Source organism: Homo sapiens, chromosome 4, assembly GCF_000001405.40.
Source record: "Homo sapiens chromosome 4, GRCh38.p14 Primary Assembly".
NCBI classification, from domain to species: domain Eukaryota; kingdom Metazoa; phylum Chordata; class Mammalia; order Primates; family Hominidae; genus Homo; species Homo sapiens.
The window spans coordinates 2,712,696-2,733,750 of NC_000004.12; the positions used below are offsets into that span (position 1 = coordinate 2,712,696).

The window sequence follows — 21,055 nt, forward strand, 5'->3', positions numbered from 1 at the left end:
TGGTTGGTCTCAACCCTGTCATTATTTTATAATTTCTGTATTTTCTATTTACTGTTTTGTTTTTTGGGTTTTTTTAAAATGTGTTGTGGGGTTTTTTGCTTTTTTATTTAAAAAAAAAATTGTGGGGCTGGGCGTGGTGGCTCATGCCTGTAATCCCAGCACTTTGGGAGGCTGAGGCAGGCAGATCACCTGAGGTCAAGAGTTCAAGACCAGCCTGGCCAAGATGGTGAAACCCCATCTCTACTAAAAAATACAAAAATTAGCCCAGGTGTGGTGGTGCATACCTGTAGTCCTAGCTACTTGGGAGGCTGAGGCAGGAGAATTGCTTGAACCTGGGAGGTGGAGGTTGCAGCGAGCTGAGATTGTGCCACTGCACTCCAGCCTGGGCGACAGAGCTAGACTCTGCTTCAAAAAAAAAAAAAAAAAATTGTCCAGGTGCTGTGGCTCACGCCTGTAATCTCAGCACTTTGGGAGGCCGAGGGGGGCAGATCATGAGGTCAAGAGATCAAGACCATCCTGGCCAACATGGTGAAAACCCTGTCTCTACTAAAAATACAAAAGTTAGCCAGGCGTGGTGGCGCGCACCTGTAGTCCCAGCTACTCGGGAGGCTGAGGCAGGAGAATTGCTTGAACCCAGGAGGTGGAGGTTGCAGTGAGCTGAGATCGTGCCACTGCACTCCAGCCTGGCAATAGAGCGAGACTCCTTATCAGAAAACAAAAAAAAATTGGGGTATTAGGAAAATGGGTGCTTTTTTCCTAGTGCATTCCTATAGACTTGCATACCCCACTCATGCTCCTTGGGCCTGGGTTCCCTGTGTACCCCCTCGTGGCCTGCTGTGTTGGCATTAGGGGGTCCTCTGACACCCACTCATTGCCTCCACAGCAGGCAGTGAGTGAATTCCATTCTTTGTGTTTTCTCTTTCCTGTCTCCCTGTCTCTCCTCTTCCCATTTTTTGTTGGTGGTGTTTCTGCTCTGTCAGAACACACGGTATTCTTAGGTACACAATTTACTACAACAGGGCTCCCGCTTGCCTCTGCTGAGTGTTCCCAGGTGTCTTCAGGTTGGTGAAGCTCATCCTCAGGCAGTGGCCTTGAGTAGGGCCACAGAATTCTCTGAGTTCTGGAGAAGTAAACTTTGACCTGTTGTGTTGTCAATGAACAGATAGTTTGGTTGGATATAAAATCCTTGGATCAACTGATTTCTCCTGTTTAATATAGTGTGGTTGTTGTAAAAAAATTTTTTCCTGATACCAAATTGGTTAAAGTTGTGTTTCCTGTTTTTCTTACACCAAGATTTTATAGACTGATTATTCTAGTTCTAGTCAGGAAAAGAGAGTATTAGAAATCTATTATGACAGCACTTCCAGCAGACATGCCAGCTCTTTTTCCTCCTCAAGTTGGAGCTCTTTTCTTCTAGAACTTCTTGTGGGCGGCTGCTGACATCATGCTTTCTTAGATCTTCACTTTTTGTACATCTGTAAATGCTCCGGCCCTCTCTCACCCTTGCTTGTGCATCAGTTTCCTGCATCAGCAGACGGTGTTCTGTGCTTCCTTTCTGCTGCTTGAGTTTTTAAAAATCGAGACTCAGAATGCTTTCCCATGCCCTGAAGCACCTCTCTGTACAAACATGTGGAGCCTGCTGTGGCTGGGGGCTGTCCTCACTCTCCAGTCACATCCGCTATTCTGTGCCAGGATTGAGCTATTGGCTGCGTTTCCTTTAACCTAATCTTTCCCTTCCTCCTGAGTGTAGATTACCAAAGGTTGACTTTCCCAGGCCTTTCCCTGAACACACCCAGCCTTCATTCCTAGACCACCCAGTCCCAGTGGCACCAGTGATTGTGGCCTCCACCCCGCTGTGTGCCCTCAGGGATACAGTTGGGATCCGAGATAGCCAAGGCTGTCATAGAGCAGGTCCCTAGAGAGAGACTCCTAAGTGACATGTCTGTGAACAAACACACTTGAAAGCACTTGCCTGGTGCTGTGTGAGTTGTCAAAAATATTAGCTGCTATTATGCGAGTAAAACGTGCCTCATGCTACCATGGAAATTCCCCAGTGGTAGAAAGAAATGGAGTGTTTATTAAAGGTTCTGAAAAATTGTCCCGTGTTGAGGGCTGCAGGGAAATGGAGACTCACCTTTAACAAAGAAATGTCAGTGGCTCCTGTCCTCTTTGTTCACATCGATGAGGCTGAATGCTGTGTGCACTGCACCCCCCCAACCCCGCCCCAGCCCAGATGTGTGCTGCTGGACCCTCTTTGATACTTAAGGCTCACATAAGCCTCCGGGAATGTATTCACGATTGAATTAGATAAGTGACCAGAACAGAACAGAGAAGTAGAAATTCTCAAACTTGCCTGAGAGTCTAGGAAATTGAGTAATTCTCAATCAATGATTTCCCTGCTATCCTGCCTGTTTTCAAAGATGGTTGTGTAATTGCAGCATGAAATGTAGCCTTGGTTTTTGTTTGGAACAACTTGAAAGTGTTTGGCCAGGCACAGTGGCTCACGCTTGTAATCCCAGCACTTTGGGAGGCCGAGGTGGGTGGATCATTTGAACCCAGGAATTCAAGACCAGCCTGGGCAACATGGTGAAACCCTGTCTCTACCAAAAATATAAAAATTACACAGGCATGGTGGTGTGCACGTTTGATCCCAGCTACTCAGGAGGCTGAGGCAGGAGGATTACTTGAGCCTGGAAGATGGAGGTTCCAGTGAGCCGAGATCATGCCTGGGTGACAGAATGAGACTTCATATAAAAAAAAGAAAAAAGTTTTTGATGAAATCTCTGGATGTCATATGGGTGAGATGAATGCCTGGGAGAACCACCTTCCTGTAGGGTTGATGTCTGGGTCCTCTTCCTGTCAAGGGCACATTCGAGGGACAGCCCTTTCCTTAACATGGGCCTGTCCCCTGGGCAGCTTCTGCTGGCAGCTGTGCTCTGCCTGACTCCAACGGAGACTTAGGGCAGTCCCTGGGCTTGCGTGCGAATTAGATTTCTGGGAATCTTCTTGCTAAAGGGCTCTCTGATGGGCTGCCTGTCATATAATGACCAGTCACATGGGGAGTCTAGGTTCTGGCAAACATGTCTTCTAACGGGACCTGAAGCCACAGTTGCTTTGCTTAGTGGACATGTGAGTTCTGCAGTTTCCAGGTCAGACCTGGGTGTTCATAAGCACACCAAAGAGATCTGTCCTCTAAAATCTCATTTTAGAAAAAATGTTTACAATTTTTGAAGTTGTTTAAATTGAGCGAAGACAAATGATTTCTTCCGTTCTGATAAGATAGCCTGCTGCTGTAATTTGACTTGCTGCTTCTCTTTTGTTTTACAGATGATGTCTTTCTACCTAAAGATATTGACCTAGACAGTGTGGATATGGATGAGACAGAGAGGGAAGTGGAATATTTCAAAAGGTAAATGTGGAGGCTGTGTCTGAAACCGTGGTGACTGTGTGCTTGCCATACATGTTTGGTTTTCTGTCTTTCCATGGCACTTCTAGTTGTCTTGGACGAAGTTACATCAAGCAAGCCAGACAACATGGCTTCTGAAGAGCCTTGTAGTAGGACAGGCCAGCCACACACACCCCTCCCATACTCCCAACACTCACACAATCACTTCTGCTCCCCCTCACATGCTAGAAAAATAGTTGATGGCAGTGGCTTCCCCCCCACCCTTCCCCGCCAACTGGCTGTTGCGCTTCTGAGGCGGTGGCTCTCCAGGTGTCCTGGGCCAGCAGCGTCTCCTGGGGATACAGGCCCCTACTTAGACCTGTCGGATCAGATTCTGGGAAGGGGCCGGCATCTACGTTCTTGACAGCCTTCCGGGTGACCCTCACATATGCTGATGGTTGAACACACTGGAGTGGTATGCTTTTGAGAAGAAAAGTAACATTTTACATACTTGCTGTTTTCCTGATGGGCAAGTTTTATCAGTGCTTGTTCTATAATGTTTTAACTACTATGTGAATTATTAATGGCAACAAAATTTTATTTATTTTATTTTTAAGAGGGAATCTCACTCTATCACCCAGGCTGGAGTGCAGTGGCACGATCTCAGCTCACTGCAACCTCTGCCTCCCGGGTTCAAGCAATTCTCCTGCCTCAGCCTCCAGACTAGCTGGGATTACAGGCGCCCACAACCACACCAAGCTGATTTTTGTATTTCAGTAGAGACAGGGTTTCACCGTGGTTACCAGACTGGTCTCAAACTCCTGACCTCAGGTGATACACCTGCCTTAGCCTCCCAAAGTGCTGTGATTACAGGCGTGAGCCACCGCGCCCAGCCTATTTATTTCATTTTTTTTATTTTTTGAGACAGAGTCTCTGTCACCCAGGCTAGAGTGCAATGTTGTGATCTGGGCTCACTGCAATCCCCACCTCCTACGTTCAAGCGATTCTCCTGCCTCAGCCTCCTGACTAACTAGGATTACAGGGGCCTGCCACCACGCCTGGCTAATTTTTGTATTTTTGGTGGAAACAGGGTTTTGCTATGTTGGCCAGGCAGGTCTCAAACTCTTGACTTTAAGTGATGCACTCACCTCAGCCTCCCAAAGTGCTGAGATTACAGGTGTGATTAAGCGTGCATTTGTATTATAATAAAAACAACAAAACTGGACTAGAGGCTGCGCCTGGTGGCTCACACCTGTAATCCCAACACTTTGGGAGGCCAAGACAGGCAGATCACTTGATCAGGTCAGGAGTTCGAGACGAGCCTGGCCAACATGGTGAAACCCCGTCTCTACTAAAAATACAAAAATTACCTGGACGTGGTGACAAGAGCCTGTAATCCCAGCTACTCAGGAGGCTGAGGCAGGAGAATTGCTTGAACCTGGGAGGCACAGGTTGCAGTGAGCCGACATAGCACCATTGCACTCCAGCCTGGGAAACAGAGAGAGACTTTGTCTCAGGAAAAAAAAAAAAAAAAAGCCAGGCATGCACTTGTAGTCCAAGCTACTCAGGAGGCTGAGGCCAGAGGATCACTTGAACCTAGGAGTTTGAGGTTGCAGTGAACTATGATCACGGCACTTGCACTCTAGCCTGGGCAACAGAGCAAGACCCTGTCTGAAAAAAAAAAAAAAAAAATTCCCCGAGTAGCTGGGATTACAGGCGCCTGCCACCACGCCCAGCTAATTTTTTTATTTTTAGTAGAGACGAGGTTTCACCATGTTGGCCAGGCTAATCTTGAACTCCTGACCTCAGGTGATCCACCCCCCCTTGGCCTCCCAAAGTCCTGGGATTACAGGTGTGAACCACCACGCCCAGACTGTCAAAATTTTTAAATACACAGAACTAAAAAGATAATTAAAACATTGCATATGAAAACCTGCGGGATATCGAAAAACGTTAACTTTTTAGAGCTGTTTATGTAAGGCTATAATTGCCTAAATTAGTTTTTAAAAATCCTGAAACATAATGAGTTAAAGATTTCACTTGAGAAATTAGGAAAAGAACAATAGAATAAACCAAAGAATATATAAAGAAGGAGATAAGAGAGATAATGAAATAGAAAACAAAGATTTGGTAGAGAAGATCAACAAAGCTAAAATATGATTGATTGAAAACACCAAATAAATCTTTAGGAGACAGATTAAGAATAATAGAGAAAAAAAGACACAAAAAATAGCATAATTAGATGGAAGAAGAATTAAGATGTTGATAACTATCAAAGTCAGGTGATGGCTATGTTCATTATGCTATACTATCTGTTTTTGTGTGTGTTTGAAAATGTCAGTAATTAAAAAAAAAAAAAGTTTTGTCCGGGTGCTGTGGTTCATGCCTGTAGTCCCAGCACTTCGGGAAGCCAAGACAGGCGGATCACTTGAGGTCAGTTCAAGACCAGCCTGGGCAACATGGTGAAATCCTGTCTCTACAAAAAATACAAAAAAAGTAAGCCAGATATGGTGGCATGCGCCTGTAGTCCCAGCTACTCAGGAGGCTGAGGTGGGAGGATGGGTTGAGCCTGAGAGGTGGAGGTTGCAGTGAGCCAAGATTGTGCATCTACCCTCCAACCTGGGTGACGAGAGCCCTGTCTCAAAAATAAATTTTTTTTTTTAAGTGTGTAAATATATAAGTGAAAAGGAGGAAATAACTACAGATACTGGAGAGATTAAAATAAGAGAACACTGGGAACAACTTCATTACAATTGACTTTAAAACTATGAAATGCAAAATCAACCTGAGGTAAAAATAGCCTGAATGGTCCAGTAACTACTAAAGAAATGAAAACAATAGCTGTAAGTCTCAGTGAGAAAACTACATTTTAACAGTTTTACCGAGAATTCTACCAAACTTTCAGACTTTGAAAGAATGGATTATCCAGTCTTGAGCAAACTCTACCAGTGAATTTAAATGAGTGAGACATCACACACACAAGTGAATACTCCCTACTTTGTTTTATGAGACAAGTAAAATTCTGATACCAAAATCTGCCCAAAACAATACCAGAAAAAATGAAAAATCACAGGTTTATCTCACTCATATTAGATTCAAAAATCCTAAAGAAAATATTCTCCAGGAGGCTGAGGCAGGAGAATTGCTTGAACCCAGGAGGCAGAGGTTGCGGTGAGTTGAGATCACGCCATTGAACTCCAATCTGGGCAACTAGAGCAAGACTCCGTCTCAAAAATATTCTCATACCTACATCAGTGTAATTTTCAAAAAAAAGAAACAATATACCAAATCGAGCAGTGTATTTTAAAAAGCAGTATACCATGAGCAAATTGGTTTATCCCAGGAACGCAAATAGTGTTTCATATTAGAAAATCCACTTTATTGGCCAAGCGTGGTGGCTCACGCCTGTAATCCCAGAACTTTGGGAGGCCCAGGCGGGCGGATCACCTGAGGTTGGGAGTTTGAGATCAGCCTGACCAACATGGAGAAACCCCATCTCTACTAAAAATACAAAATTAGCCAGGCATCGTAGCGCATGCCTGTAATCCCAGCTACTCGGGAGGCTAAGGCAGGAGAATCACTTGAACCTGGGAGGCGGAGGTTGTGGTGAGCCAAGATTGCACCATTGTACTCCAGCCTGGGCAACAGAGAGACACTCTCAAAAAAAAAAAAAAAAAATCCTCCTTCCTTCCTCCCTCCCTCCCTCCCTCCCTCCCTTCCTTCCTTCTGACAGGGTCTCACTCTTGTCACCTAGGCTTGAGTGCCATGACACAATCACTGTTCACTGCAGCCTTGACCTCCCCAGGGTCAAGCAGTCCTCCCACCTCAGCCCTCCAAGTAGCCGGGACTACAGGCACATGCACCATGCCTGGCTAATTTTTTTTTTCTTCTTTTTGTAGAGACGGGGTTTCGCCACATTGCCCAGGCTGGTCTCGAACTCCTGGCCTCAAGTGATCTGCCCACCTCAGCCTCCCAAAGCGCCAGAATTACAGGTGTGAGCCCCCGCACCCAGCTAGAAAATCCACTAATGTTAGTTGCTACATTAATATATTAAAGAAGAGCCATATGATCATGGCTTAGTAGATCATGGATCAGTAGATTTCCAAAAAAAGTATTTTATATTCAACCTTAAATTGTAATTCCTAGGCTAAAGGAGTATAAAAGAGGAACTAAAAATCAATTTTACAGGTGATCTAATTGTCTACATAGGAAATATAAAAGAACTTACAGCAAGGGGCTAACTGTGTAGGATCAGTACAGAAGTTATTTGCTTTTGTTTTTTGTTTTTAAACAGAGCACGGTGGCTCACACCTGTAATTTCAACATTTTGTGAGGCTGAGGTGGAAGGATCACTTGAGCCCAGGAGTTTGAGACCAGCCTGAGCAACATAGCAAGATACTGTCTCTACAAAAAATAAAATAATTAGCCAGGTGTGGTGACATGCACCTGTGGTCCCAGCTACTCAGGAGGCTGAAGTGGCAGGATCCCTTAAACCCAGGAGACCAAGGCTACAGTGAGCCAAGATGCACCACTGTGCTCCAGCTTGGGCAACAGTGAGACTCTGTCTAAAAAAAAAAAAAAAAACAGTTATTTTTCTCTATACCCACACCACAAATAATTGGAAATGTAGCTCAAAAGAGCATTTATAATAGCACCAAAATCTCTCACTATCCACAGATAAATCTGGCAAAAGTTGCATAAGACTTGTATACAAAAGACTGAAACTTTATTGGAAAACATTAAAGAAGATCTAAATCACAGAGATTCATTATCCAAAGACAGGAAGGGTTAGTATCATAAAAGCTGTCAAGGACCGGGCATAGTGGCTCATGCCTGTAATCCCAGTGCTAGGAGACCGAGGCAAGAGGATTGCTTGAAGCCAGGAGTTTGAGACCAACCTGGACAACATAGACCACAACTCTACAAGAAAATTAAAAATTAGCCAGGCGTGGGCCGGGCGCGGTGGTTCATGCCTGTAATCCCAGCACTTTGGGAGGCCGAGGCAGGTGGATCACGAGGCCAGGAGCTCGAAACCATCCTGGCTAACACGGTGAAACCCCGTCTCTACTAAAAATACAAAAAATTAGCCAGGCGTGGTGGCGGGCACCTGTAGTCCCAGCTACTCGGGAGGCTGAGGCAGGAGAATGGCGTGAACCTGGGAGGCAGAGCTTGCAGTGAGCCGAGATTGCACCACTGCACTCCAGCCTGGGCAACAGAGCAAGACTCCGTCTCAAAAAAAAAAAAAAAAAAAAAAAAAAAAAGCCAGGCATGGTGGTACATGCCTGTAGTCCCAGCTACTCAGGAAATTGACACAGGAGTATCCCTTGAGCTCAGGAGTTTGAAGCTTCAGTGAGCTATGCTTACGCCACCTCACTCCAGCCTAAGCAATAGAGAGATCCTTTCTCCAAAAAAATTAAAACAAAAGGCAAACCATTAGGATTACACAGCAAGCTTTTGACCACTAAACTACAAAGAGGTCTTCAGCCTGACCAAGGAGCCCCATGGCAAGACCAGAGGAGGTGCTGCTGCTTCATGGGTTTGCAGCTAGCGAGCCCTCCCTCTCTCCTGCTGGAGGAAGGTGTGAAGCGACGGGAGTCCCTAACCACTGCTCCGGGGAGCATAACTGTTAAATTACTTTGGAAAAGAGTTTGGCAGACTCTAGCAAAATTGAAGTTGTGCCTCCCGTGCAACCCCACAAACAGCTGCACACTTGTGTGCACGACTAGAGGTTCTCCTGCATGTCCCGGGGGCGGGGCAAACGTGAGGCAAGCAGCAGCATCTGTCTGTTCACTGCCATGTGTTCATACCGCAGTGAAGACGAACAGACTGTCACCTCATGGAGAACTCTCACAGACATAACATTGAGTGAAATAAGAAGCTGTAAGACCATGTACATACAGTGCAGTTCCCTCGATATGAGGCCACACAGCACAACCATACTAACATTTAGGATGTCATAGAGAAGTCACGAAATTACCAAGAACTATGGTGAACTAATTACTCCAAACCCTAGGGCTGTGACTACCTCTTGGGAGAGGACAGCACGGCGCCACGGTTAGCAGTGTCAGGTTTTGTGACCTGGGGGTGCTGTGACTCAGGATTCTCCCTGCTGGTTATGTGGCTGTCCTGTGTGTCAGACACCGTGTGCATGTCTCACGTAGTCTGCAGTCGACAAAACAGGCCTGATGCAGAGGCCACTGTGTCTCGGGTGCAGGTGGTGTGGGGAGGGACAAAGCCAGGTCACACTGGGCCTGGGACCTTAGAGAGCAGCGTGAGCTCTGTGCCCATGCTGCAAGAACCTGTGGAAGCTGTGCAGTGGTTTGGATTGGATTTCTTCCTTGAATGGCTTGGAGCAGGAATGTGGTTGATGTTCTTGAGCATTCTATTCCAGCTGCTGTGTCCAGAAGGGGCTGGGGGACAGGGTCACACATGCACTAATGGAAACAGGATTAGTGATTGTCAGAGTTAGGAGGGGACAGCAGAGGCAGAAGGTAACATCACAAACTCAGGGCTTGACCAGCTAGGGACAGGGAAAGAGAATTTGGATTCTGGGAGATGACACAGTCAGCCCTTCCAGTTTAGGGGAGTGAGGGGATCAGTCTCATAGAGGCTGCAAGGCAAGAACGCTGTTGGGCATTCACGAATGTTTGTGGTTGAATAAACAAGCCACAGTTTAAGCAACCATAATTAAACCTAATGGATGGGTGACAGTAATAACCATTTTCAGGTTTCATTCAAGTTTAGAGACAAATAAGTAAGTAAGTAAGAGACAGGGTTTTGCCACATTGCCCAGGCTGGTCTGGAACTCTGGAGCTCAGAGGATTCTCAAACCTTCCAGAGTGCTGGGATTGCAGGAATGAGCCACCACACCTGGTCCAGTGTTTCAATTTTGCTTACAAAAGTATACTTTAGGCCGGGCGCAGTGGCTCGCACCTGTAATCCCAGCACTTTGGGAGGCCAAGGCAGGAGGATCACGAGGTCAGGAGATCGAGACCATCCTGGCTAACACGGTGAAACCCCACCTCTACTAAAAATACAAAAAAATTAGCCGGGTGTGGTGGCAGGTGCCTGTAGTCCCAGCTAGTCAGGAGGCTGAGGCAGGAGAATGGCGTGAATCCAGGAGGCGGAAGTTGCAGTGAGCCAACATCACGCCACTGCACTCCAGCCTGGGCAACAGAGCGAGACTCTGTCTCAAACCAAAAAACAGTATCCTTTAGGCCAGGCACGGTGGCTCATGCCTGTAATCCCACTTTGGGAGGCCAAGGCGGGTGGATCATGAGGTCAGGAGTTCAAGACCATTCTGGCCAAAGATGTTGAAACCCCCTCTCTACTGAAAATACAAAAATTAGCAAGATGTGGTGGTGGGTGCCTGTAATCCCAGCTGCTCGGGAGGCTGAGGCAGAGATTTGCTTGAACCCAGGAGGCGGAGGTTGCAGTGAGTTGAGATCGTGCCACTGCACTCCAGCCTGGGCAACAGAGCAAGACTCCGTCTCAAAAAAAAAAAAAGTTTGAAGTAAAAAAGACTAATTTAGAATTTAAAATTTGATTTTAGGAAGTATGTCAGATATCAAAGGTTTAAAACACTTGATATCAAAATAAGATCATCACAAAAGAAGTTATTCATTTAACCAAACTAATAATTCAAAGGTTTCAAAAAGCAAAAACCTTTATGTTTTGATAGGAGACTCTGGTTTTGGAGGGTTGGGGTTTCTGGGTTTTTTGTTTGTTTGTTTTGTTTTGTTTTTTTGAGACAGGGTCTCACTCCATTGTCCAGGCAGTGGTGCAATCACGGCTCACTGCAGCCTTGACCACCAGGCCCAGGTGATCTTTCCACCTCAGCCTCCTGGGTAGCTGGGACCACAGGCGTGCTCCACCACCCGCTGCCTGAGACTCAGTTTTCTCAACAGTCAGAAGACATAATGAAAATGGCATGAGGCCAACAGAATGTCTTTTTTTTTTTTTTCAGCTTACTCAAAAGATAATTGACAAAGTATTTTATTATCTCTTATTAATACTACATGAAATCTTATTGAAAAGAGAAAACCAGTTGCATCAGTGTATTACTATTAATTGTAGTAAAATCTTTTAAACAGATCCATCTAATTTCAATCAGCTTTGACCACACAGGATTTCCATAAATCTTTTATAACCTCTTAGAATTTTCCCATTCACTTCCTTTTCCCAACTTTCTATATTCATTTATTTTCTTTTCCATCTGTTTTTCAACTTAAGACCACTTTTAAATAACCTCTAAACTAGTCAAAATCACTTTTTCCTTTGACAAAACCACATCCTCATGTTTTTCTTATAACCTTCCTTACCAAAACACATCTTACTTTTTCTTATGTATTTTATATGTAGAACTGTTTTCCTGCTTATCTCTACTTTGAGTTACCATGTTAGTCAGAATTTTAGCTTTTAGTAACCTTAAATTATAGTGAAAACTTAAGAAATAAGCAATTATTAATATTTTGTTTATCTGAAATAAGCCAGGCACAGCGTTCACACCTTGTAATCCCAGCTCTTTGGGAGGCTGAGGTGGAGGATCACTTGAGCCCAGGAGTTTGAGGTGTGAGCTGCGATTGTGCCGCTGCACTCCAGCTTGGGAGATAGAGTGAGACCCTGTCTCAAAAACCAAACAGAGGATAAAGAATTTAAGCTTTCCAGTCAATGAAGCTTTACATTATTGGCAGAAATCATGTCAACAAACAGAAAAGCGGGCTGAGAAAGTGCATATCGTTATCAAGGGTTACGGAAGAGAGGAATTCAGTCAACTGAGAAGGTTTTTTTATTATGAATTTTTTAACTTTTTGAGATGGAGTTTTGCTCTTGTCACCCAGACTGGAGTGCAATTGGTGCAATCTCGGCTCACTGCAACCTCCGCCTTCCAGATTCAAGTGATTCTCCTGCCTCAGCTTCCTGAGTAGCCTCTATTACAGGCACCCACCACCATGCCCAGCTAATTTTTTTGTGTTTTTAGTAGAGACAGAGTTTCACCATGTTGGCCAGGCTGGCCTCTAACTCCTGAGCTCAGGTAATCCACCTACCTCCGCCTCCCAAAGTGCTGGGATTACAGGCGTGAGCCACCACACCTGGCCCTGTCTCTATTTTTTAATTAAATTAAAAACTATATATATATGTATGTATATACACACACATATATATGGTGCTTGCCTGGGCAACACAGCAAGACGTCATCTCTACAAAAAGTAAAATCAGCTGGGCATGGTGGCACACTACTGTAGTAGTTCCAGCTACCTGGGAAGCTCAGGTTGGGGAGGGTCGCTTGAGCCCAGGAGGTCGAGGTTGCAGTGAGCTGTGATCGTACCACTGCACTCCAGCCTGGGCAACAGAGTAAGACCCTGTCTCCAAAAAAAAAAAAAAAAAAAAAAAAAAGTAATCACACCAGAGAGGCAGTGAAATGTGAGAGCGGGTACATCCTACCCCTTCCCCCACCTCAAGCTGAGTAATCCACCTGCTGTATTGTATAGACTCTAGATAGAGTGTGGCCAAAGTAGCTGTAAATTAACCTCTTAATGTTGTCATAGGGATAACTCATATCCTGTAGTTCAACAGTTTATAGCCAATCACTATCAATATAATTTCTGTAAAGCAATGAGAATTCTTGACAACTTTTTTTTTTTTTTTAAGGCAATAGTCTTGCTCTGTCACCCAGGCCGGAGTGCAGTGGTATGATCTTGGCTCACTGGACCCTTGACCTCCCAGGCTCACTTGATCCTCCCACCTCAGCCTCCTGACTAGCTGGGACTACAGGCGTGGGCCACCAATCTCAGCTAATTTTTATTTTTATTTTTATTTTATTATTATTATTTTTTGAGATGGAGTCTCGCTCTGGCGCCCAGGCTGGAGTGCAGTGGCGCGATTTCGGCTCACTGCAAGCTCCGCCTCCCAAGTTCACGCCATTCTCCTGCCTCAGGCTCCTGAGTAGCTGCGACTACAGGCGCCCGCCACCACGCCTGGCAATTTTTTTTGTATTTTTAGTAGAGACGGGGTTTCACCGTGTTAGCCAGGATGGTCTCGATCTCCCGACCTCGTGATCCGCCCATCTCAGCCTCCCAAAGTACTGGGATTACAGGCGTGAGCCACCACGCCCAGCCTCAGCTAATTTTTAAAATGTTTAGTAGAGACAGTTCTCATTATGTTGTCCAGGGTGGTCTCAAACTCCTGGATTCAAGTGATCTATCTGCCTCGGCCTTCCAAACGTTGGGATTAGAGGCGTGAGCCACCAAGCCTGGCCCTGATAAACAACTTTTGTAATCACCTCCTCTCCTAATTTGTTCTTTTTTTCTTAAAAACTTGAGTTGTTCTTTCTAACCCCCTTCCCTTTCTAAAGAGGCAAGAGATTTGGGTTTCAGGGAAAAAAAAGGGAAACTGCCTTCTCTGGCCTTGCTTCACAGCATGGGATCCGGGTCCCGGTACTGGCAGTTTGGCTCCGTTCCTCCTGTGGCTTCTTTTTTTTTGGCCTAAATTACACAGCATGCTTTTAAAATTGCTGCTTCCTACTGTTTGTAATTCAGACCTTTTTTCCTCCTTAAATTTGTGACCAAGGCCAGGTACAGTGGCTCATGCCTGTAATCCCAATACTTTGGGAAGCCGAGGCGGGTGGATCACTTGAGGGTCAGGGGTTTGAGACCATCCTGGCCGACATGGTGAAACCCCACCTTTACTAAAAATACCAAAAAAAAAAAAAAAAAAAAAAAAAGCCGGGTGTGGTGGTGCACATCTGTAGTCCCAGCTACTCTGGAGTCTGAGGCAGGAGAATCTCTTGAACCCAGGAAGAGGAGGTTGTAGTGAGCCCAGATCGTGCCATTACACTCCAGCCTGGGCAACAAGAGCAAAACTCCGTCCCAAAAAAAAAAAAAAAAAAAATTGTGACCAGCCGGGCGCAGTGGCTCCTGCCTGTAATCCCACTACTTTGGGAGGCCAAAGCGGGCGGATCACGAGGTCAAGAGATAGAGACCATTCTGGCCAACATGGTGAAACCCCGTTTCTACTAAAAGTACAAAAATTAGCTGGGCGTGGTGGTGCTCGCCTGTAGTCCTAGCTACTCTGGAGGCTGAGGCAGGAGAATCGCTTGAACCCCGGAGGCGGAGGTTGCAATGAGCCGAGATCGCGTCACTGCACTCCAGCCTGGCAACAGCAAGACTCCGTCTCAAAAAAAAAAAAATTGTGACCAATTGCTGTTAGTTTTAAACTGGTGCATGAAGGTGAGTTCTCTCCCTGGCCCTCAAGAGATTTGGAAGTTTGTTTTAGAGAGTGCTCTCAGTCACTTAAGGATGTAAATCTTACTTACTTATTTATTTATTATTTTTTGAGACACAGTCTCTCACTCTGTCATCCAGGGAATTAGCAGCATTCCCGCTGAGACTGGATTTGAAACAAAGTTACAGTTCCTTAGAGCCACTACAGATTTCTTTCCTCAATGGATACCTTTAGCTTAGGATAACCACTAATAGGAATTAATTTGAATTTACTTGAAATTATTTATGACTCTTGACCATTTGGGATACCCATTTGTCATCTTTTCTACTAAAGGAAACTAAAATATTGCTCTCTCAAATACTGGGTATTGTTGAGCTGAAGACAGAGTGCAGGGGCTCTCTCTACCTCTCCTTTGTTTGCCTAAAGGTAGGACATAAATCCTTTTTTACTGAAGACAGCTACTCCGCAGCCCACAGATGGTGCCAGTGGGGCAGAGGAATCTGTGAGCAGACTTTAAACCCCAAAAGACTTTCTAAAAATGAAGTCTCAGTTCAGGCCGAAGTGAAGTGGCTTGATCACAGTTCATTGCTGGGACTACAGATGCGCCACCATGCCTAGCTAATTAAAAAAAAAAAAATTATTTTATTTATTTTTTTTTTGAGATGGAGTTTTGCTCTAGTTGCCCAGGCACGATCTTGGCTCACCGCAACCTCCGCCTGCCGGGTTCAAGCGATGCTCCTGCCTCAGCATCCTGGGTAGCTGGGATTACAGGCATGCGTCACCACGCCTGGCTAATTTTGTATTTTTAGTAGAGGCAGGGTTTCTCCATGTTGGTCAGGCTGGTCTCGAACTCCCGACCTCGGGTGATCTGCCCACCTTACCTCGGCCTCCCAAAGTGCTGGGATTACAGGCGTGAGCTGCCACACCCGGCCCAATTTTTTTTTTTTTTTTTTTTTTTTTGGTAGAGAAGGCATCTCTTTATGTTGCCCAGGCTGGCCTCTGAGTATCTTTCCACCTCAGTCTTCCAAAGTACTAGGATTACAAGCATGAACTACCTCCCCAGCCCAACCCCACAGGTTTACCTTCCCTCATTTTTGGCACTAGTCCCATGGGCAGTTTCGTTTTTCTATTTTCCTGTCTCTTTAAATCTTCCACCTGGCATTTGTGCATAGACTGTCAGCTGAGAAGCTGAGACCTTAGAAAATATGGCCTGACAGATGTGGCTTGCACCCTATTCGCAGCTAGCAAGACTTTCTTTAAGCTGTTCTTGAGAGGGGCCTGGGGCTGAAATTTTGTTCCCTCTTCAGAGACCTTGGTTAAAGCCATAAAGGGATTCTTAATTTTGGTCTCATGCATGTCTGTGTGTGTTGGCTTTGAGTCGTTTGTGCAGGTATGCCCTTGAATGATTATAAATTTCTGGTTTATATTTAGAATATGATAGGGGTTTTTTGTTGTTTTGTTTAGCCTTCTCCTAAGCTAAATGAAACCATATACTCAGAAAGTAAACAGTTTATTAAAACATTCAAAGACAAACAGCTTTAAATAGTGGTTACCCTAGACCTCTAATAAGCAAATATGTTCCACCTCCAAAACTTTTTTTTTTTTTTTTTTTTTTTTTTGGTGGGAGCACAAAGTCTGGTTCTGTCCGTCCAGGCCGTAGTGCAGTGGCGCATTCTCAGTTTGTTACAGTGGGTAGCTAGTCAGGTGTGAGCAGGGCAGGGGAGGGCCTCCTCCATCCACCAGGGATGTCAGGTGACCATCAGGTGATGGTTAGGCAGTTGTCACACTGCCTCTCTAAAATAATAATTGGTCATAGCCAGCACCAGGGAAACTGAAGCTGGTGATCAGCAGCTTCCCGATAAGATCTCAGGAATTGGGCAAGTGGGCTCAAGCATGTGCACTAAGGCACAGAATGGTGGAGTTTAACTGGTGTGTGACCTTCCAGGTACTTTACACCGGGAAGGGAAGATCGCCTCAGGTGAGCATGCGCATGCTCCAGTAAACACACTACGCATGCTCCCTCCCAAGTGCTAGCAGGCCAGTGTGTGTGCAGGCAGCCCACCCCAAGGGAGGAATTGGGAGAAGGGACGCGAGGCCCTGAAGTATGCCAACACCTAGAACCCTACATCAGAGGCCGGATGGGGCACTTGCCTCTCGAGTTGCCCACTTGGCCTCTTCCAAGTGCACTTTCCTTCCTTTTGTTTCTGCTCTAGAGCTTTGTAATGAACTTCCACTCCTGTTCTAAAACTTGCCTCAGTCTCTTCTTCTGCCTTATGGCCTTTGGTCAGATTCTTTCGTCTGAGGAGGCAATAATTGAGGCTGCTGCAGACACATACGGATTCGCCACCGGCAACTCAGGTACCTGCCACCGGCAACAGGCTCGCTCAGCCTCTGCCCACCAGGCTGAAGCCATGCTCCCACCACAGCCTCCCGAGTAGCTAGGACCACAGGTGTGCGCCACCACACCTGGCTAATTTTTGTGTTTTTTTGTAGAGATGAGGTTTTACCATGTTGCCCAGGCTGGCCTTGAACTTGTAAGCTCAAGTGATCCACGCACCTCAGCCTCCCAAAGTGCTGGGATTATAGGCATGAGCCACCACAGCAAGGCTTTATTATTTTTGAGACGGGTCTCACCTTTGTCACCCAGGCTGGAGTGCGGGGGCACCATCACAGCTCACTGCAGCCTTGACCTCCCAGGCTCAAGGATCCTCCCACCTCAGCCCCGAGCAGCTGGGACTATAGGCACATATGTGTACTGCCACTCCTGGCTAACTTTTTACTTTTTGTAAAGATGGAGTCTCACTGTGTTGCACGGGCTGGTCTCAAACGCCTGGGTTCAAGTGATTCTCCAACCTCAGCCTCCCAAAGTAGTAGGAAAACAGGCATGAGCCACCATGGCCAGCTTCAGATCTCCTCTTTGGTGTCAGTTTCAGGAAGGAAAAACCAAGAAACAAGAATGTTGACTATTTGCCTGGCTAAGACCTGACACAGGAATCCTTTTAAACAGCTTTAGAGTTGAAAGTTGACTTAATTAGAAGCTGATATTTAGGATATATGTGTATACAATTTTTTCGAGGCCTCTGCTTTCTATAAAAGCTTCTTGGAGGCCGGGCGCGGTGGCTCACGACTGTAATCCCAGCATTTTGCGAGGCCGAGGAGGGCAGATCACAAGGTCAGGATATTGAGAGCATCCTGGCTAACATGGTGAAACCCCATCTCTACTAAAAATAGAAGAAATTAGCTGGGCGTGGTGATAGGTGCCTGTAGTCCCAGCTACTTGGGAGGCTGAGGCAGGAGAATGGCATGAACCTGGGAGGCGAAGGTTGCAGTGAACCGAGATCACGCCACTGCACTCCAGCCTGGGCGACAGAGCAAGACTCCGTGTCAAGAAAAAAAAAAAAGCTTCTTGGCCAGGGAAGAAGCTACAAAAAATACAAAAATTAGCTGGGTGTTGTGGTATGCACCTGTAGTCCTAACTATTTGGGAAGCTGAGGCAGGAGAATCGCTTGAACCTGGGAGGCAGAGGTTGCAGTGAGCCAAGATCGTGCCACTGCACTCCAGCCTGGGTGACAGAGACTCCATTTGAAAAAAATTAAAAATTAGCTAGGTGTGGCCAGGCACAGTGGCTCACGCCTGTAATCCCAGCACTTTGGGAGGCCGAGGCAGGCGGATCACTTTAGGTCAGGAGTACAGATCAGCCTGGTCAACATGGTGAAACCCTCTTTCTACTAAAAATACAAAAATCAGCTGGACGTGGTGGTGGGCACCTGTAATCCCAGCTACTTGGGAGGCTGAGGCAGGAGAATCACTTCAACGTGGGAGGCGGAGGCTTCAGTGAGCTGAGATTGTGCCATTGCACTCTAGCCTGGATGACAAGAGCGAAACTCCTTCTCAAAAAAAAAAAAAAAAAAAAAAAAAAAACCGGTGTGGTGGTACATGCCTGTAGTCCTAGCTACTTGGGAGGCTGAGGCAGAGAATTGCTTGAACCTTGGAGGTGGAGGTTGCAGTGAGCCGAAACTGCCACTGAACTCCAGCCTGGGCAAGAGAGTGAGACCCTGTCTCAAAAAAAAAAGGATTTCACCATGTTGCCCAGGCTGGTCTCGAACTCCTAAGTTGAAGTGATTTGCCCTCCTCAGCCTCCCAAAGTGCTGGGATTACAGGTATGAGCCACCACACCCTGCCTGGGCCTGATAATTTAAGGGCGCTCACAGCTCTCAGATTAAACGTTTCTTTTCTTTCTCAGGACTCCTTCCGCCCACCCATTCCTCCTCCCGAGTCCTTTCCCCTTCTCAAGTGCAGCCTGTAGCAGGGCCTGGAGGGGACCCTTGACACTGTGCCCCTCACCGAGAATCTAAACCCCTGACCCCGCAGTGAGTTTCTGGCAAGAACAGGAGTGTGATGGGCTTTGCCAAGCACCAGCTTGGTTGTGGGCTGTTTCCTTCAGTGACTGTTTGGCTTTTTGTCTTTGCAGGTTCTGCTTGGATTCTGCTAGACAGACCCGACAAAGACTGTCTATCAACTGGTCCAATTTTAGCTTGAAAAAAGCCACCTTTGCTGCCCACTGAATGAGGACTCCCTGGAGAGGGACACGCGAGAGGCAGGCCAGGCTGCACCACCCCAAGAGCCACGCCCCTCGCTGGCGCCCCAGAGCCGTGGTGCTTGCCAAGGGCTGTGCGGAGCTGGTGCTGCCTGAAACCCCAGACCGAGAAGTTGATGCTCGGCCCACGCCGTTAGCTCGTGTGCGTGTAGTCTGTGCGTGAGACTCCTTCGATTGTAGCTCTGTGCTGTCGGATTGGAACAGTAGTTCCCGCCAAGTCCTCCCACCACCGCGGCCTCGGAGGCCTGGGCCGTGGCCAGATAGGAGTTTGCATCATCCACGTGGCTCCGTTGCCTCTGCATTGCGCCCTGTCCTGTCATGTGTCCTCACCGGGGTATCGGCCGTCACTCAGCTCTCCTGTGCCCCTGCGTCTCACCCTAGGCGGGCTGGGCGGGGCAGGCCTCCTTTGTTCTCCACAATCTACTGTCTCCGAGTGTACACGTTGCGCTGTTTGTGTTTGATCCCCCTGACTTGTAGCCAGCTTGTGTAAGATCCCTTGCAGAACGAGAAAGTTAAAAACAAGCCCACCCAGTACTCACACCATCAAGTCTGTTATAGAGTGTACGACTGTATTAACACGGAGGCCTGCCTGGCTACTTTTTTAACATATTGTTAAGTAATATTAAAATCATGTCTTTCTTTTTGAAAGATGGAATACATTAGTACAGCAGGAGACCTCGGCTGCTTCTTTCTGCTGGGGGAGTGGGGGGATAGCGGGAGAGGGCGTGTAGGTGATGTGTCCGCCATGGGGAGCCAGGGCACCACCCCGGAGCAGGTCCCAGGTCTCTCCAGGCAACGGCTCACCCATCCTGGTGCCCCCACCATCCTCTGTGTGCCAGGCAGAGCAGGCAGCAGGAGACAGAAAGCTCCCAAGGAGCTGCATCCTGGTTACTTCTTACTACCTAGAACACTCAGTAGCTCCCACTTCTCCCAGCCTCATGTTCAGCCTGTCTCTGTGTGCCCTATCAGAGTATGACTTCACTCTGAGTGAAGGTGAATAGGGCAGGGCCTGGTTGGGGAGAGGGTAGGGAGAGCCAGCTTCTGGAGGTATTCGGACGATGAGGCCACAGGATTTCCTGGTGGACAGGATGCAGGTAGGAGAAAGAGGTGAAGACCTGCGCTGTGTGCCTGGAGGTGGGACTGGAGACCAGTTCTGGATGGTGAGTCTGGGATGTCCACCGGCCACCCAGGTGAGAGGTCTGGAACTGGGGACTGCTGTTCATGGACAGAGCCTGTGTGAGGGCCCTGCAGGGGTGAGTAGATGGGATGGGGGCCCGAGCTGTGGAACCAGGAAGGCAGAGGAGGGTGAGGAGGCTTCGAGGCAGGTCAGGGGAGACAAGGCCCAGGGCACCCCCACCCAGGCACCGGTTTGCAGGAGAATGAGGTGGGGACAGCAGGTCCTAGAACTCTGGAGATTGCACGAAAGCTGGAAAAGGGTCACCAACCAGGGGAGGTGCAGCACGACGAACTTTCCTCACTTGTTTTTTTTTCCAGGTGTGAGGAAGAGAACGTTCCTTTGTTCGTGGGATGATAGGGCAGAGAGTGAAGCAGGTCAGGCCATGACCACGGCAACAGTAGTGTCCTTGAAACCCCAGTGCAGGCCCCCGGGACTCCAGCCGCTGCCTCTTCTGGCTGCGGTGGTGGCTGGGGAAAGGCCCAGGCCCGGGCCTCGCCCTATGGGGAAGCTGCCTGCCCAGGCCCCCAGTACCTGCCCTGCTCTCCCCATGGACAGCCTTTAACACTGTGCTGAACCATGCCTGTTGCTGAGGGGAACTGCACAGCCCTGAGTGGTGATGGGGAACTCTGGGTGCCCCGACACACTAAGCATCATGCTGGGACCTAGAGACCCT

General features: G+C 47.2%; 1 protein-coding gene across 12 annotated transcripts in view; it reads left to right on the top strand.

The window, feature by feature from the left end:
* FAM193A (family with sequence similarity 193 member A) overlaps positions 1–19,878 on the top strand; it is a 197,199-nt gene extending 177,321 nt beyond the window's left edge. For 10 of the 12 annotated variants that reach the window (NR_046335.2, NM_001366316.2, XM_047416341.1 and 7 more), the window contains 2 exons: positions 3,328–3,409; positions 19,080–19,878. Coding sequence is in view for 10 of the 12 variants with exons in the window: in NM_001366316.2 (NP_001353245.1) it covers positions 3,328–3,409; positions 19,080–19,173 (176 nt within the window). In the remaining 2 variants the exon portion in view is untranslated. Of the gene's footprint in view, positions 1–2,626; positions 2,799–3,327; positions 3,410–7,284; positions 7,378–19,079 lie in introns of all 12 variants that reach the window. The other 2 variants (NR_046336.2, NM_001256668.2) reach the window with 2 other exon arrangements.
* The last annotated feature ends 1,177 nt before the right edge of the window (positions 19,879–21,055 follow it).